General features: G+C 45.9%; 1 protein-coding gene across 11 annotated transcripts in view, besides 2 other annotated features; it reads left to right on the forward strand.

The window, feature by feature from the left end:
- Positions 1-18,588, forward strand: part of RPN2 (ribophorin II) — a 62,290-nt gene that overhangs the window by 1,732 nt on the left and 41,970 nt on the right. For 9 of the 11 annotated variants that reach the window (NM_001324301.2, NM_001324305.2, XM_006723851.4 and 6 more), the window contains exons 2-4: positions 3,119-3,312; positions 17,336-17,431; positions 17,989-18,164. In NM_001324301.2, coding sequence (NP_001311230.1) covers positions 3,119-3,312; positions 17,336-17,431; positions 17,989-18,164 — 466 coding nt within the window. The remainder of the gene's footprint in view (positions 1-3,118; positions 3,313-17,335; positions 17,432-17,988; positions 18,165-18,588) is intronic. The other 2 variants (NM_001135771.3, NM_001324306.2) reach the window with 2 other exon arrangements.
- Positions 11,245-11,539: a silencer, noted in NCBI's record as "tiled region #9458; HepG2 Repressive DNase unmatched - State 25:Art, and K562 Repressive DNase unmatched - State 25:Art". NCBI's record gives its function as "represses a minimal TATA promoter and a strong SV40 promoter by Sharpr-MPRA in HepG2 and K562 cells {active_cell/tissue: HepG2 | K562}" and the evidence as "EXISTENCE:reporter gene assay evidence [ECO:0000049][PMID:27701403]".
- Positions 12,476-13,310: an enhancer, noted in NCBI's record as "H3K27ac-H3K4me1 hESC enhancer chr20:35821940-35822774 (GRCh37/hg19 assembly coordinates)". NCBI's record gives its function as "activates a minimal SCP1, AML or CMV promoter by ChIP-STARR-seq in naive H9 embryonic stem cells {active_cell/tissue: H9 hESC(naive)}" and the evidence as "EXISTENCE:reporter gene assay evidence [ECO:0000049][PMID:30033119]".

Raw genomic sequence — 18,588 nt, forward strand, 5'->3', positions numbered from 1 at the left:
CTACTAAAAAGACAAAAATTAGCTGGGCATGGTGGCACGTGCCTGTAGTCCTAGCTACTTGGGAGGCTGAGGCAGGAGAATCGCTTGAACCCGGGAGGCGGAGGCTGCAGTGAGCCGAGATCGCGCCACTGCACTCCAGCCTGGCAACAGAGCGAGACTCTGTCTAAAAAAAAAAAAAAGAACTTTCCAGTGGCTTCCACTACGGTGGTATACAAGGCCCTCTGGATTTGTCCTCTGCTACCTCTGTTACCTCATCTACTTCTTACCCTTTGCTTATTCCACTCAAGCTGTACTGTCCTTGCTGATCTCAAAAAACACTGTATGTGTACATACTCCTGATTCAGAATGTTTGCATTTGGTTTTTCTTTTCTTTTTTTTTTTTTTTTTTGAGACAGAGCCCCAGGCTGGAGTGCAGTGGCACGATCTCAGCTCACTGCCCACTCTGCTTCCCAGATCAAGTGATTCTCGTGCTTCAGCCTCCCTAGTAGCTGGGATTACAGGCCAAGTCACCATGTGCGGCTCATGTTTTGTATTTTTAGTAGACATGGGGTTTCACCATGTTGGCCAGGTTTGTCTTGAACTCCCGACCTCAGGTGATCCCCCTGCCTTGGCCTCCCAAAGTGCTGGGGTTAGAGGTGTGAGCCACTGCGCCTGGCCATATTGGGTTTTTCTTCTTAGCATAGTTTCCCACCAGATATCTTTATGACTTGCTTCTTCTTCAGATCTGTACTCAATATGTTTATTTCTTAGTCCTTCATAGACTACCGTATTTAAAATGCAGCCCTTCCCAAATATCTCTTCTGTACTTTATTTTTTTCCATAGCACTTACTTTGTAATGTGATAAATAATGTTATTTCATGTGATGTCTTTTGTCACTAGAATAGAAGCTCTTTGAGGGTGGGAGTTTTGTTTCTTTTGTTTCCTGCTGTATTTTTAACACCTAAAGTAGTGTGTGGCACATAGTAGCTCAGTATACATTTGATGAATACACCACGTGATAGATTTTTTCTTTTTTTAATTTAATTTTATTTATTTATTTTTATTTTTTTGAGATGGAGTCTCACTCTGTCACCCAGGCTGGAGTGCAGTGGTGCGATCTCGGCTCACTGCAACTTCCGCCTCCTGGGTTTAAGTGATTCTCCTGCCTCAGCCTCCCAAGTAGTTTGGATTACAGGCACCCACCATCACACCTGGCTAATTTTTGTCTTTTTAGTAGAGACAGGGTTTCACCATGTTGGCCAGGCTGGTCTTGAACTCCTGACTTCAAGTGATCCGCCCACCTCGGCCTCCCAAAGTGCTGGGATTACAGGCGTGAGCTACTGTGCCCAGCTGTCTTTTATTTTTTTGAGACAGGGTCTCTCTTTCTCACCCAGGGTGGAGTGCCATGGTGTGATCTCAGCTCACTGCAGTCTCAACCTCCTGGGCTCAAGTGATCCTCCTACCTCCGCCTCCCGAGTAGCTGGGACTACAGGCACACGCCACCATGCCTGGCTAATTTTTGTATTTTCTTTTTTGTAGAGAAAGGGTTTCGCCATGTCGCCTGGTCTAGTCTTGAACTCCTGGGCTCAAGCATCCGCCTGCCTCAGCCTCCCCAAGTGTTGGGATTACAGAAGTGAGCCAGTGCCGCTGGCCAATAGTGCCTTTTTTCAAGGATTCTAGTTCAAGCTTAATTTAACACTAAAGGCAAAGGATTTAGGGCCACTCATGTTAGCCTAGTGATTATTTGTTACTGCTGTTACTTGGGTGCCAGACAATGCACTTTATCAAGAAGCAGCCCATTCAAAAGTGTTTTTTGTTTTGTTTTTTTAAATAAATGAAGTAGAAATGTACCACTCCTGCAGCTTCCTGTCCCCTGGGGCATCATAGATGGGGATTAATTTTTCTTTTCATTTATTCAGCAAATATTTATTCAGTAACTATGTGCCAGGCAGTGTGCAAGACTTGGAAATACTGGGATGAACAAAAGAAGCAGTCTTTATCCTCATGGAACTTACAGTTTAGCAGAGAAATCAGACATTACGCTGTTAAAGTTGTAGAAAATCCCACAGAGAAGTACAGATTGCTATGAGTGGATATAAGCACAACAATAATAATAGTAGTAGAAGTAGTAGCTAACATTGATATAGCATTTGTTATGTGCCAGTCATTATTCTAAGATTTTTTTTTTTTTGAGACGGAGTTTTGCTCTTGTCACTCAGGTTGGCAACAATGGCGCATTCTCAGCTCTCTGCAACCTCTTGTCTCCCAGGTTCAAGCGATTCTCCTGCCTCAGCCTCCCAAGTAGCTGGGATTACAGGCACCTGCCACCACACCCAGCTAATTTTTTTGTATTTTTAGTAGAGGCGGGGTTTCACCATGTTGGCCAGGCTGGCCTCAAATTCCTGACCTCAGGTGATCCACCTGCCTCGGCCTCCCAAAGTGCTGGCCCGGCCAGATCTTTCTGTATTAACTCGTGTAATTGTACCTGAGGTAGATACTATTATCACTTTACACTTTAGGAAACTGAGGCACCAGCTGGTTGAATAACTGCCAAGGGCACATTGCTAATAAATGGCAGAGGTGTGATTTAAGCCTGGCCCCAGAGTCTGGGTTCTTCCTTACATTATTGTACTGGGGAACTAATCCTAGGGAGAGCTGCTTAAGGAAGAGGTGCTTGAGCTGAATTCTGAAAGTAAAAATTAAGCCAAGTTGAGGTAAAAACATGGAAAAATGCTGAGCAGGAAAGAACCTGGCTTCTTAGAGGACAGAGAAGAAGCCAGAGAGCAACAGATAGCGGGAAGCGCGAGGGAGGAGATCTGGTTGAGAGGCTGGCAAGGTGTGAGGATTCAGGATTGGGTTTGTCCTTAGAGGCAGAGGACTTACAGACATCTTTCAGATGGGAATAGTAGGATAAGGCCTGTGCTTTAGATGCTTGGAGGCTGCTGGGAGGACTGTCCTTCCACCAGTTGAAGAGCAGGCTCCCTGCCTTCCCAAGGCTTCTCCTCAGGTTAAACCCCTGGATTCCCTCGCCCTTCCCCATGTGATTTGGTTCCCAGATCTTGGTGTGCATCATCATTGGGACTGTGTATAGCACCTTGGAAGAGTGTAGAGTGTACTGAATGGTTGTTTCCCCCCAAGGTTCAAGCACTGTCTTCCTGTTGGCCCTGACAATCATAGCCAGCACCTGGGCTCTGACGCCCACTCACTACCTCACCAAGCATGACGTGGAGAGACTAAAAGCCTCGCTGGATCGCCCTTTCACAAATTTGGAATCTGCCTTCTACTCCATCGTGGGACTCAGCAGCCTTGGTGCTCAGGTGCCAGATGCAAAGGTAAGGCTGCTTTTGTCCTGGTGGTCAGGGTGGTTCAGGAGAACCTTCATCCCCTCACTATATTCCTTTGGGGTAGTTCAAAACTAACTCTTGCTCATTTGAGGATAACCAAGGTTAATCCAATATAAGAAATATTTGGCCAGGCGTGGTGACTCACGCCTGTAATGCCAGCACTTTGGGAGGTCTAGGCAGGTGGATCACGAGGTCAGGAGTTCGAGACCAGCCTGGCCAGTGCAGTGAAACCCTGACTCTGCTAAAAATAGAAAAAATTAGCTGGGTGTGGTGGTGCATGCCTGTAATCCCAGCTACTCAGGAGGCTGAGGCAGGAGAATCGTGTGAACCCAGGAGGCAGAGGTTGCAGTGAGCTGAGATCCCGCCATTGCACTCCAGCCCAGGCAACAGTGTGAGACTCAGTCTCAAAAAAAGAAGTTTATTTCAGTTTGACAGATCTGTTTTTGTTTTTGTTTTTTTGCCTAATGTATGTTAAGGATCATACCAGATCAGTTATTTTTAGTGGGATGTCAAGAAGAGCAAGCATAGATCATCTAGAAACTTTTACTTCAGCTCTGGGAGTGAGACTGTCCAATAACACATGTACTTACTAAGTGCCCCCCTATGTGTGTGGCTAATAATAAGGGAATTCAAGGTGGAAGGCACTCACATGTATTAAATAATGGTAGTCACTACATCAGGCAATTTTGATACATGTTTTTGGACTTCTGGTGAGGAAAATGCATTATGATTAAAACCTTTCCTGGATTCGGGACAGTCTTTTTTTTTTTTTTTTTGAGACAGAGTCTGGCTCACCCAGGCTAGAGTGCAGTGGCATGATCATGGCTCACTGCAGTCTCTGTCTCCTGGGCTCAAGCCATCCACCTCAGCTTCCCTAGTAGCTGGGACTACAGGTGTGCACCACCATGCCTGGCAATTTTTGTATTTTTTCGTTAGAGATGGGGTTTTGCCATGTTGCCCAGGCTGGTCTTAAACTCCTGGGCTCAAGTGATCCACCTGCCTCAGCCTCCCAAAGTGTTGAGATTACAGGTGTGAGCCACCACCTGACCAGGAACAGTCTTAAAGTGAATTTACATTTTATTCATTATAGTAGTATGGACAACTAGACTAAACAATTTTCCTTTGCCAAGTTTCTCATATCTGCCTTAGTTTTCTTTGACTGAAGAACAAATTACCATAAATGTAGGGGCTTAAAACACCACCGACTTATTGGCTTATATGGCTTATAGTTCTTTATTTTATTTTATTTAAGAGAGGGTCTCACTGTGTTGCCCAGGCTGGAGTGCAGTGGCTATTCACAGGCATGATTATAGCACACTATAACCTCGAACTCCTGGGCTCAAGTGATCCTCCTGTCTCAGCTTCCTGAGTACCTGGGACTATGGGTGCATCCCACCGCACCCCGCTGTTAGCTGATAATCCTGCAGGTCAGAAGTCTAGACAGGCTTGCCTGGGCCCTCTGCTTAGTGTCTCCTGAGGTCAAAGTGAAGGCATTGGCCAAACTGGGCTCCTCCCGGAAGCACTGGAGAAGAATCTGCCTCCAGGCCCATTCATGTTGTCGTATTGTCAGCAAAATCCAGTTCCTGTGGTTGTGGGCCTGAGGTCTCCATTTCCTTGCTAGCTGTCTGCTAGGAGTTGCTCTCTGTTCCTCAAGGCCATTGGTATTTCTTCTCACATGGCCCCTCCACCTTTAAACCAGTAATGGCATGGTGAGTCCTTACTCTTCAATTCTCTCTGACTTCCTCTTCAGCCACCAGCCAGAGAAAACTGCTATTAAAGGGTTCACCTGTTTGGGTCAGCCCACCTGGATAATCTCTGAATTGTAAGGTCAGCTGACTTGGGGCTTTAATTATACCTGCAAAATCACTTTATAACAGTTCCTAAATTTGTGTTTAAATGAATAATCAGTGGATGGAAATCCAGGGGGAGGAGTATGAATGTCTTTAGAATTCTGCCTACCATTTCTTGTATTAGCATGGAAATGACTCCAAATCTGTAGGGACTTTAGGCATACACTACTGCACCTGGCTTGCTGGATGGAGTGTCTTCAAGCAAATATCAGACATATTGTTGTACTTGTATCTCTTATTCTATTTATTTATTTATTTTGTAGAGATGAGGTCTCGCTATGTTGCCTAGGCTGGTGTCATGAACTGACCTCAAGCAATCCTCCTGCCACGGCCTCTCAAAGTGTTGGGATTACAGGCATGAGCCATTGTGCCTGACCAACAGTAATTCTTTAATGTCATTTAATTCTCAGTCTATGTTCAGTTATCTTGAGTTATCTCAAAAGTGTTTTTTACAGTTAGTTGGCTTAAATCAGGATCTAAAGAAGGTCTACACATTCCATTTTTTGCTGGTATCTCTTAAGACTCTTTTCACCGATAATAGTTCCCATTCCCTCTTTTCTCCCCATACCATTTATTTGTGGAATAAGTCAGGTCATTTGTCCTGGAATATTTTCCACATTCTGCCTTTGATTAATTGTATCTTCATGATGTTTTTGAACATATTTCCCTATCCTTTGTATCCCTGTAAACTGATAGTTAGCTCTTGAGGCTAAATTATATTCAGGGTTGGTTTTCTTGGTGAAAATATTTCACAGGTGGTGCTGTGGACTTCCTATTAATAGATACATAATATCTGGTTATTTCACTTTTAGTGATGATGAAGTTGTAAATTAAGGTGTTGTCAGACTAATCTATCGCTTATAAATAGTATATAGTAGGGATTTGTTTTTTCATCCAGTCTGATAATTTCTACCTTTTGATTGGGGAGTTTATTCCATTTATTTTTTTATTTTGATTCTTTTTTTATGTTTAAGATCAATCATTTGGCGGGGCGCGGTGGCTCAAGCCTGTAATCCCAGCACTTTGGGAGGCCGAGGCGGGCGGATCACGAGGTCAGGAGATCGAGACCATCCCGGCTAAAACGGTGAAACACCGTCTCTACTAAAAATACAAAAAATTAGCCGGGCGTAGTGGCGGGCGCCTGTAGTCCCAGCTACTTGGGAGGCTGAGGCAGGAGAATGGCGTGAACCCGGGAGGCGGAGCTTGCAGTGAGCCGAGATCCCGCCACTGCACTCCAGCCTGGGCGACAGAGCGAGACTCCGTCTCAAAAAAAAAAAAAAAAAAAGATCAATCATTTATGTTTAATTATATTGTTGGGTTTACATCTGTCATCTTGTTATTTGTTTCCTATTGGCTTACCTGTTTTTCCCTCTCTTTTCCTGTCTTATTTTTATATTTTATTTTGTTTTATTTTATTTTTTTGAGACAGGGTCTCACTCTTGTCACCCAGGCTGGAGTGCAGTGGTGTGATCTCTGCTCACTGTGACCTCTGCCTCCCGGGTTCAAGTGATCCTCCCATCTCAGCCTCCTAAGTAGCTGGGATTACAGACGCGCACCACCATGCCTGGCTAATTTTTTGTATTTTTTGGTAGAGATGGGGTTTCACCATGTTGGCCAGGCTGGTCTTGAACTCCTGACCTCAAGTGATTTGCCCTCCTCGGCCTCCCAAAATGCTGGGATTACACGCGTGAGCCACTGCGCCCAGCCCCTTGATTATTTTTAAATATTCTGTTTTATATCTTCTATTGACTGTTCAGATCTAATTTTTTTTTAGTGTTTGTCTAGTTTTGTTTAGAGATTTTAATATGCATCCTTAATTTCTCACGGTATATCTTGAATTATTATTTTGCCATGTCACAAATAGTAAAAGAACCCTATAACTGTATTTGCATTTAAACTCTCATCATTTCTGCTATCATTGTCATACTTTTTGTTTGTTTGTTTTTGTTTTTGAGATGAAGGCTTACTCTGTTGCCAAGCTGGAGTGCAGTGGCGCGATCTTGGCCCACTGCAACCTCCGCCTGCTGGGTTCAAGCGATTCCCCTGCCTCAGCCTCCTATAGGTGCACGCCACCACACCCAGCTGATTTTTTGTATTTTGGTAGAGACGAGGTTTCACTATGTTGGCCAGGATAGTCTCCATCTCCTGACCTTGTGATCTGCCCGTCTTGGCCTCCCAAAGTGCTGGGATTACAGGTGTGAGCCACCGCGCCCGGCCCATTGTCGTACTTTTTAACCTTCTTTCAAGGATCCCAGCCTTTGCTGTCTGTTGTTCAGTGTCTCAATTTCATATATTTCATACAGTTTTATAGTTATTTTTGGTAGGAAGGGAAGTTCAATATATTTAATTCTGTCAAGGGCAGAATTGATAGTCCCAATTGGTGTCTTTTTTTTTTTTTCTGAGACAAGGCCTCGCTCTGTTGCCCAGGTTGGAGTGCAGTGGTGCGATCATGGTTCACTGCAGCCTCAAACTTCTGGACTCAGGTGATCCTTCACCTCTGCCCCTCGAGTAGCTGGGACTACAGTCACCTGTCACCATGCCTAGCTAAATTTTTTTTTTTTTTAATATTTGTAGAGACGGTGTTGCCATGTTGCCCAGGGTTGTCTCAAACTCCTCGGGTCAAGCCATCCTCCTGCCTCTGCCTCCCAAAGTGCTGGGATTATGGACATGAACCACTGTGCCCAGCCTCCAATTGATGTCTTTTTTTGTTGTTTGTTTGACATGGAGTCTTACTGTCATCCGGGCTGGAGTGCAGTTTTGTAGTCTTAGCTCACTGCAACCTCCGCCTCGTAGGTTCAAGTGATCCTCCAGCCTCAGCCTCCCAAGTAGCTGGGACTACAGGCATTCTCCACCACGCCTGGCTAATTTTTGTGTTTTTTGGTAGTGACAGGATTTTGCCATGTTGGCCAGGCTGGTCCTGAACTCTTGACCTCAGGTGATCCACCCGCCTTGGCCTCCCAAAGTGCTGGGATTATAGGTGTGAGCCACCCCTCTCAGCAATTGATATCTTTCAATCCATTTCAATTGTTATCCTTTTTGGTGCTCAAAATGTTCCATTTTTGCCAATGGGCCAAACTGTGTGTGTGTATGTGTGTGTGTGTGTGTGTGTGTGTGTGTGTGTGTGTGAACATCCATTCATTTACACATTGGGTACAACTGGTTTTCAGTTTAACTGTAGAGTTAAATAGTTACTAGACTGGCCAGAAAGCCTAAAGTATTTACCAACTGGTCCTTTACAGAAAAAGTTTGCTAATCGCAGCTATATGAGATCCAGCTTACTCAAATTTTTTCCTGACAACCAGCTCTCCGTTTCTGCCCAATGTTTTCTTCCTGTGTGTGACTCTATTAAAGATACAGACGTTTCCTCATGATTACACTCTTATAAACCCTAAAGGTGAATGTACCTCCTGATAAAATTAGTTCTGCTCAAAAGTAAGAGTATACCCATCAGAGTCAGTTAACTCAAGCTTTTAATTCTGGCTCCACCTCTCTGCAAAGGGAGTTATGAAGCCTACCTCACTGAATCATTGTAAGAAGAAAGTGAAATTACAGTATGCCCCTCAAAGGAAATGGTAGCTATTATCGTTCTTACATTGAAAAGGTTTGCTTCTATTTATACTTTGTTTAGGTGAGTTCAGACAATGCCTGGCACAGACACTGTATTCGCAGTGCCTTTTGTAGTGATGCTTCGTACTTCTGCTCTGGTTTTTGGTGATGTCTTTAGAGGCCCTGGGGAGAGAGAAAGAGCAAATTGACTAGAGGTTTTGTATTGTGAGGTATAGGAGATAACATTGAAATAGTAATGTTAACCTCTGGCAGGATTTGAATGCAGGATGAAAAGTTTCTCCTGAAGGTTTTCAAACTTTTGTGGAACCACAGGATTCGGTGTAGGGGGTCACGGAGGAATGAGGTGCTCCCACTTCATCCAGAGCATGTCTTTTGATCTGTGTCGTGATTTGGAGTTCTATAGGAGATTTAGGTTGAACACATACCCCCAAAGCTATTCTCTGCCATCATCACAAGTTTGCGGGATGTTGGTTAGGGCTGAAGATGTAGATTGAGAGGCATCCGGCCAGCTGCCATGCAGTGTGACTTGGGATAATTACATGATTGGGCTGGCTGTGGCTTTATGTTTACAATACAGACGCTGAAGTCAGAGTGGTTGCCTTCAAGGTGTTAACTTCAAAACTTCACACCTGAGTCACCTGTGCAGCTTATTTAACCTTTCAAAATTGTTGTTCTGTCATCGGTAAGATGGAGATAATAATACTCAGCTCACAGATAATGTGTGCAGGGTAGTTAGCACGTTGATGGCATGTGGTAATACGTAGTATTACCCTTATGAGTAGTATGACTATATATAAATAGTAGTAGCAGTTGGTACACATTGATTGACATTTTTTTTTCAGACTGTCATCCTCACTGCTTAGCATACATCTGACACACGGGTGTCTAACAAATATTTGAACTGTAGACTTTAGCTCAATCAAAATGGGAGCTCTCTAAATGTGCCTGCTAATCAGAAAATAAATAGGTTAATCACATACTCCATTCTAATTGCTTATGAAATGTGCTGTGTTGATTAGGTGGTGTGTGCATTATAAGTAATGGAAGAAAGGGAGTTGTATGCATGTTTCAGAGCTGTTGAATTTCCTCATTAGATGTGCAAACTACATAAATCCATTGAGAGATTTATGTCATTACTGTCACTTCCGTGTAGCGGTGCATGTCCTGCTCAGCTGTTGCTGCCTTCAGCTCAGTAGAGAGAACTCCCTGGGCTCCCCTAGATACACTGTTGCCTATTCTCACAGATCGATATATTTGGAGAGATTTTGGTTATTATCTCGTAAGAGGTTTTAGCAGCAAAACTGGGAGAAATGGGGTTTAATGAGAATAGAAACTATGGAGACAGCAGTGTGGAATGAGAGTTGATTTTAGGTGTTATAAAGTGTGAGCATCGGCTGGGTGCGGTGTCTCAGGCCTGTAATCTCAGCACTTTGGGAGGCTGAGGTTGGTGGATCCCTTGAGGTCAGGAGTTCGAGACCAGCCTGGCCAACACGGCAAAACCCTGTCTTTACTAAAAATACAGAAGTTAGCTGGGCGTGGTGGGCATGCCTGTAATCCCAGCTACTCGGGAGGCCGAGGCAGGAGAATTGCTTGAACCCAGAGGCAGAGGTTTTGCAGTGAGCTGAGACTGTGCTGCTACACTCTAGCCTGGGTGACAGAGCGAGACCCTGTCTCAAAAAAAAGGCCAGGCGCGGTGGCTCACACGTGTAATCCCAGTACTTTGGGGATGCCGAGGCAGGCGGATCACGAGGTCAGGCAATCAAGACCATCCTGGCTAATACAGTGAAACCCCGTCTCTACTAAAAATACAAAAAAATTAGCTGGGCGTGGTGGCGGGTGCCTGTAGTCCCAGCTACTTTTTTTTTTTTTGAGACTCTGTCTCAAAAGAAAGAAAGAGTGAGCATTTTTCATTTGAGTTATATTTATATAAAACATAAGCATGTCAGAAAGGTGATTTTACAGATATCATTATTTAGCTTTTTACAAGATTAAGAACATGCTGGGCACAGTGGCTTATGCCTGTAATTCCAGCACTTTGGGAGGCTGGGGTGGGAGGATCACTTGAGGTCAGGAGTTGGAGACTAGCCTGGGCAACATAGTGAGACACCCGCCCCCCACCCCCGATTTCTGCAAAAAGTAAAATTAGATGGGCATGGTGGCATGCACCTCTAGTCCTAGCTATTTAGGTGGCTGAGGCAGAAAGGCAGGGATATTGCTTGAGCCCAGGAGTTTAAGGCTGCAGTTAGCTGTGATGGCACCACTGCAGTCCAGCCTGGGCAACAAAGCAAGACCCTGTCTCAAAGAAACCAAATTACTTTAAAAAAATGCCTCCCTTATAAAGCGTTGTGAGCATTAAATGAGATAATAAGTGTAAAGTGCTTAGTGTAGTGCCTGGCACATGATGAGTGCATATAGTAGTAAGTATATTTGTTTGTGGGTCAGGCACTAGTTCATTCCTGGGGATAGCAGAGAATGAGGCAATCCTTCACGCAGTAATCATTTATGGAGCATCTGCTGTGTGCCAGACATTGTGCTAAGTGCAGAGAAGACAAGAGAGCTCATTATCCATTGAGAGTACCATAATACAGTGCTAAGTGCCAAGAGGCAGACAGGCTGTTTGTGGAAAGTACCATGGGAGTCCAGCAGAGGGAGCCGGCACTCACCCTGTCTGCCAAGAAAGCCACAATCTTGCACTGGAGTGCTGCCATCTGTGCTGGCTGCTGCAGGCTTCATTTGGTCACTCAGCAAATATATAGTGAGTTTCTGCTGTGCACTAGGTATAGTGCTAGGCACTGGGGATTTACTCTTGAGCCATAAAGAGGGAGAGGGCCCCTGCACTCTTAAGAATATGTTGTCTAATAGCTGAGACAGGCATTAATCATGTAATCAAATACATGCACGAATATTTGCAACAATGGTAAGTTTTATGAAGGGGAGATATGTGCTGTTATAAATAGGGGATTTTATAGGGGTAGAATAGGGGACTTTGATTTGCCAGGAAAGGCTTTCCTGAGGAAATCTCCGAATTTAAATCTCATTGTGGGCTGAGTGTGTTGGCTCACACCTATAATCCTAGCACTTTGGAAGGCTGAGGCAGGAGGATTGCCTGAAGCCAGGAGTCTGAAACCAGCCTGGGCAACAAAATGAGACCCTGTCTCTACAAAAAGTAAAAAAAAATTATCTGGTGTAGTGGTGTGTGCCTGTAGTCCCAACTACTCAGGAGGCTGAGGATGGAGGATCGCTGGAGCCCAGGAGTTGGAGGCTGCAGTGAGCTACGATCATGCCACTGCACTCCAGCCTGTGTGAGAGGGCAAGACCCTGTCTCAAAACAAAAACAAAACAAACCCCAAACCCAAAACTCAAACCTCTCTGCATCACCCTAATCTCACTCTACTCCTTAAGGGCAGGGACTTTGTCTATTTTATTTGTTGTGTATCCCCAGTTCCTAGAACAGCACCTGGCATGTGGTAGGCACTGAAGTGAAGGAAGATGTGATTGATCTGAATTCTAAAGGGAGAGGAGGAGTTAACTGTGAGACGAAGGAGAGAAGGGACTTCAGGCAGAGGAAACAGCCTGTGCGGAGGATAGAGAGCAGGTTACATTTGAGATTGAAAGGAGGAGGTGTGTGGAACAGAGTGGGAGGGAGGGAGAGGAGTGAGGCAGGCTGGGGCCAAGCCATAGTGCCTTGGCCCACATAGGAAGAGTTCTGATCTGTTTCCAATGAGCAATATATTTTAAATAGCTAGTATCGTGATTCACCTTGCATTTTGGAAAGACTTCTCTCTTGCTTTTTGGAAGACAGACTATAGCAGGGGGCTACAGGGCAAGATTGAATGCAGGAGGGGTACAAAAGATAATGCCTGGACTTTCTGCTTCTGCTGCATGGATGGGTAGTTGGGCCATTCCATGAGATAGCAACACAGGAAGACAATGAGGTTTGTCTGGGAAAGATCACGAATTTGGTCTTTACCATGGTGAGCTTGAAATACCTTTGAGTCATGTAAGTGGCTGTTGAGAGAAGTCTGGGCTGGAGGTACGGGTCTGAGAATTATCTGCATAGAATTTTGGGATGAAGCCATGGGCATGGATGGGATGGCCTAGGGAGGCAGGGGGTGGTGGGATGAGAGCCAGGCCTAGGAGCTGAGAAACAGCAGGAGAGCTCAAAACTGAGGGAGGAGCTGCCAGAGAAGTAGGAGACCCAGCAGGGTGCGGTGGCATCCCAGAAGGCTACGGGCGCGCATGTTTCCCAGTGAGGACGTGATCGGTCTGTCCATTGTTGAGGAGTGAGCACTGGAAAATGTCCTCTGCTTCGACAATTTGGAGGTTGCCACTGGCCTGCTGGGGGCAGAAGCCAAATTGGAATGAGTGGAGGTGAGGACATGAAGACTGGAGCAGTGTGGCTGTGTGGGAAGAGAGAAGGTGGCACTGGAGGGGAGAGAAGGGTTGAGGGAAATTGTTGTTGTTGTTGTTGTTGTTGTTTGAAAGTTTCGCTCTTGTCACCCAGGCTGGAGTGCTGTGGCTCGATCTCGGCTCACTGCAACCTCCGCCTCCCAGGTTCAAGCGATTCTTCTACCTCAGCCTCCCAAGTAGCTGGGACTACAGGTGCACACCCCCACGCCTGGCTAATTTTTGTATTTTTAGTAGAGATGGAGTTTCACCATGTTGGTCAGGCTGGTCTCGAACTCCTGACCTCAGGTGATCCACCCGCCTCAGCCTCCCAAAGTGCTGGGATCACAGGCGTGAGCCATCACGCCCAGCCAGGAAGTTGTATTTTAAAATAAGTCTTGAGTTTTGTTAATACATTATAGGAGAAGTTGAATTGACGAGGTAATGGGCTTCCAGATGGAGAGACAGGGTGTACAAAGCCTGGAGGCTTCCAAGTGCTTGTTGTGCTTTGGGGCAGTGAGGTGCTTGTGCAACTGGAGCAGAGATGGGTGGGGAAGTGCAGTAGGAAGCACCTGGGGAAAAGCGGGCCTGGTTAGAAAGGGTCTGGCGTGGGGCCCCAGCCAGTGTGTGCCTGGGCAGCACATCACAGTAACAAAGTCTGAAGAGATGACAAAGCACAGTCTGAGAGGCAGCCAGAGTAGCGGGGAGCTGTTTATGGAGGAAATAGGGGAGGGGAGGGCAGATGAGAGAGATTTGCGGTCTTTTCTATAGGCCTCCGTATTTGATTAGGTTCAGGGAGTTGTAGGGGAAAACCTATGATGGAAGAAAGCACTGGTGTTCTTTGCTCAAGAGGGTGTTTGATTAATTGGGGTATTAGCACAGAAAGTTGGAAGCAAGCAGATCGGGGGTGGACATTTAGGGGGCAGTTTTCAGCCTTCAGTCGGGAAGATGAGTCTAGAACGTTGGAGGGCAGCTGGAGTCAGAGTTTCCAGTCCCCCGACAGTAGCTGGCTGAAGCCTCAGCACTGGGTGGGCTCACTGAGCAGGCTGAGCATGTTCTGGGAGGTGTCCCTGCTTCTGCTGCTGTGTAAACTCCGCCGTCAACATCTTGGGCTTTGAAGCCACTGAACGCCGGACTGGTTTACCTTGATTTGTCTTTGCAAAGTGTAGGAATGATGCTTGTCTTACTCCAGAATAGATTGTTTTTAGTGGGCTCTTGAGAAGTGGAGGTTTTATAGCTCAGACACCAGAGCCAGGCTCTTCTGGAGCCAGGGAATTCTAGTTCCCCTAGTTAAAAGCTGAGTGACTTTGGACAAGTTACTTTGCCTTTATAATGCCTCAGTTTTCTTACCTGTAAACTTAAGGTGATAAGAGTGCCTGATCCATGAGATAGATTGGGGATTAAATGAGAAATGCACATAAAGCACTTAGAACAGCGTTTGACACATTTTAAGTGCTCAGAAAGAGGTAATGATAGAGGTAGAAGTAGAGGTAGTCATTGTTTTGGGGTCTCCAGTGTTGTCGTTCCATTGTTAAAGCACCAGATGGCGACAAAGCACACATTTTCAGCTGCCTTGCATTCCCCTGCTTGGACTCCTTGAGTAGCTTTACTTATTCTCTTCAGATCCCTAATTGATGCAAAGTGAAGTATTTTGTTTGTTTCCTTTCTCTCTCTGGCTTCTTTAAAACTTCTGGTTGAAACTCATTTGTTTTGAGACTCTTATTTAAATTTCATTCATAAAATTAAAAAAATGCTTTGGTTGGAGTAGCATGTACACACAGTAAAACATTGGACAATACAAAATAGCTGTTAGTGAAAGGCAGCGTGCTGCCCTTGCCCTCCACCCTGTCCTACTCTCCAGGAGCACCCCGCGCTTTTTTTTTTTGGTGGGAGAGGAGTCTCACTCTGTCGTCCAGGCTGGAGTGCAGTGGCACGATCTCGGCTCACTGCAACCTCTGCCTCCCGGGTTCAAGGGATTCTCCTGCTTCAGCCTCCTGAGTAGCTGGAACTACAGGTGAGCGCCACCGTGCCTAGTCTCCCCCCCACCTTTTTTTTTTTGAGACGGAGTCTCGCTCTGTCGCCCAGGCTGGAGTGCAGTGGCACGATCTTGGCTCACTGCAAGCTCTGCCTCCCGGGTTCACATCAGTCTCCCGCCTCAAGCCTCCCGAGTAGCTGGGACTACAGGTGCCCACCACCACGCCCAGCTAATTTTGTTTTTGTGTTTTTAGTAGAGATGGGGTTTCACCGTGTTAGCCAGGATGGTCTCGATCTCCTGACCTTGTGATCTGCTCGCCTTGACCTCCCAAAGTGCTGGTATTACAGGTGTGAGCCACCGCGCCCAGCCTTTTTCTTTTTTTTGAGACAGGATGTTGCCCTGCCACCCATGCCAGACTGCAGTGGTGTAATCACAGCTCACTGCAGCCTCAAACGATTCTCCAACCTCACCTTCATAAAGTGTTAGGATTACAGGCGTGAGCCACTGTGCCCAGCCAGCACCCACTTTTAACTGTTATTATTACCACATCTTTTTGAATAGCTGAATTTTATATTACTTCAGCCAAAATATTGGCAGTCTATTGATTTGATACTGTTTCTTGGAGTCGAGGAGAGTCGTAGTAGCGGGGGCTTGGCGATTTTGTGATGTGTTTCCTTTGTGCCAGTCACTGTGATGGGCATTTGGCAAAGTCCCTGATCTTGGGCCACTAGTCACTGGGGGAACTAGTAAGTGCAGTGTGGTACGTGCTTTGGGGGAGCACTTGAGAGGGTGGATACCTGGCCTCTCCTGGGAGGACTGTCAGGAAGAGGTGAACATCTGAGCAGAGTTGAAGATAGGACCTGGTTTGGCAGGCAGGAAGGACAAGGAAAAGGTGCTCCCGGCAGGGTGGGTAGCAGGGTCAAACACGTCAAATGGCGAGAGCGTGGTATAGCTGCAGGAGGCTAGAGGGTAAGATTTTGGAGTTGGAGTTAGGGCTATGGTGATGCAGGCAGCATGGAGAGGGAGGGTCAGTCTTGAGGGCATTTCATGCTGTGTCAGAAGTTGGATCTTGTCTGAGAAAAACAGGGAACCACTGAAGGGTTTTAAAGGTAAAGCAACACGGTTACACTTGTATTTTGTGAAGATCAGTCTTGAAGCAGTGTGCAGAATGGATTGCATGGCTTTAGACCGCTTAGGAGATGACTGACTGGGACAATGTAGGTGAGAAATGGCAAGGGCCTGCTGTAAGGCAGTGACAGAAACCAGAGGCGGGACTGGGCCTGAGAAATGAAAAAGAGGTAGACTTGATAGGCTTGGAGGGTGGGGAAAAGTCAAGGATGGTTCCCATGTTTCTGGTTTGGGTTGCTGGATGCATGGTATTACCTGTGCATGAGCTGGGAAGTCCTGGTGAAGAAATAGAAGGTTTTAAGCTCATTTTCTTTTTTATTTTTATTTTTTTGGGGGACTGGGTCTCGCTCTGTCTCCCAGACTGGAGTGTAGTGGCATGAACATGGCTCACTGCAGCCTCAACTTCAAGCAGTCCTCCTACCTCAGCCTCCCAGGTAGCTGGGACCACAGGCATGCGCCACCTGCTCTGCTACTTTTTGAATTTTTTGTGGAGATGGGGTCTTACCATGTTACCCAGGCTGGTCTCAACTCCTGAGCTCAAGCAGTCCTGCCTCAGCCTCCCAAAGGCCTGGGATTACAGATGTGAGCCACTGCACCCAGCGTTAAGCTCATTTTAGATTTGTTGAGCCTGACTTGGCCTTGGTGACATCTAAGTGGAGATGCCAGTAAAGTTGGAATCAGAAGAGACTGCCACTTGGTAGCTTTGTCACCTTCATCAGGTTACTTGCCAATTTGGAGCCCCAGTTTCTTTTTCAGGTAAATGGGGATAGTGATAATCTCTACCAAAGGATCATGTTGTTAAAAGGAAGAGCTTCCTAAATACCCAGCACAGTCCATGGCCAGACAGGTGATCCGGGAAGTGGTTTCCTTCTTTCCTTTCTAAGGTTCGGAAGGACTCAAGCGCCTTCAGGCTTATTGCTCTTTGTACGAAGTGAGCAATTTTGGGTAATACCGTGTCCTATGGAAAGTAACTACTTAACTAAATTCATGTAGCTCATTCCTTAAGCCATCTATAATGGCTGAGAATGTTATCTAAAAACGCCTTTGCTTTTCCTGGTTCACTACATGTGTCACCACTTAACATTGACTTTTCCCCACTGTGTAGAAAGCATGTACCTACATCAGATCTAACCTTGATCCCAGCAATGTGGATTCCCTCTTCTACGCTGCCCAGGCCAGCCAGGCCCTCTCAGGATGTGAGGTGAGTCCGGGTTCCTACGCTGACAATGACTTTAACTATTTAAAGTACATTTTTAAAGGGGAGGAGTCATGTCAAACATCCTTTTTTTAATTATGAGAGTCCATTATTGTGAGTGGGAATTCCATTCCTGTGATTTTTTTTTTCCTTAAGAAAGTATAGTTTATGTTTCTCCTAAGTTTTTACTTTTCAAGGGTTTTAAATAACCTTTTTGTACAGTTTTTGCTTTTCTTCTGGTAGGTCTTGATTTTTTCCTTTCCATCTGCCTTTAACACGTAAAAATGTTCAAAGTGTACCCCCACACGAGGTTTCTGGAAGTCATTTTGTTGAACATAGGAGAACCATATAAGTAGAAAGGTAACTTGTCAGCATCTTTTCACATGGGAGTGTTGTACCGAAGTTTTGCAAACATTTCATCCTGGTGTCTGGGGATTAGAGGGGGATGAGCATGTGCGAGGCGGAGGTGACTTTGGCAGCTGCTCCGCATTCTGTCTTTGCCATGCCTGCCACAAATTGCCAAGACCTGTTCTAAAACTCTGTGTCTGCCAATTCTTTCTTAGATCTCTATTTCAAATGAGACCAAAGATCTGCTTCTGGCAGCTGTCAGTGAGGACTCATCTGTTACCCAGATCTACCATGCAGTTGCAGCTCTAAGTGGCTTTGGCCTTCCCTTGGCATCCCAAGAAGCACTCAGTGCCCTTACTGCTCGTCTCAGCAAGGAGGAGACTGTGCTGGCGTGAGTTGTCATCTCGAGCATTTCTCAGGCTTCATTTGTCTCGGGTCCTATCCGAAGAGGGCTCATTCATTGGTTCAGCAAATACTTTCTGGGCAAGTACTTGCAGTAAATACTTCCGTGTGCCAGGTGCTCTGCAAGGCACCGCAGACATGATTGCATGAAGGCAAGTAAGGTCCGTGTCCTCGTGGAGCTCACATGGACACAGTCTTCTGCAAGCCTCGCAGACAGAAGGCAAGCGCTGAGCCAGAGCATGAGCACACCACCACCTAGAGATCCAGTTGCCTTGTGCGGTTGGAGGGCTAGAGCAAGGGCAGATAACTGAGAAGGAGCCACGTGCATGTCTTGTTGAGGCTTGGCTAGGGCAGGATGACATGTTGGCAGTGGAGGCTCTGCAAAGTGGGGGCTCTCAGGATCCCTGGAAGTT

Source organism: Homo sapiens, chromosome 20 (genome assembly GCF_000001405.40).
Source record: "Homo sapiens chromosome 20, GRCh38.p14 Primary Assembly".
NCBI lineage: Eukaryota > Metazoa > Chordata > Mammalia > Primates > Hominidae > Homo > Homo sapiens.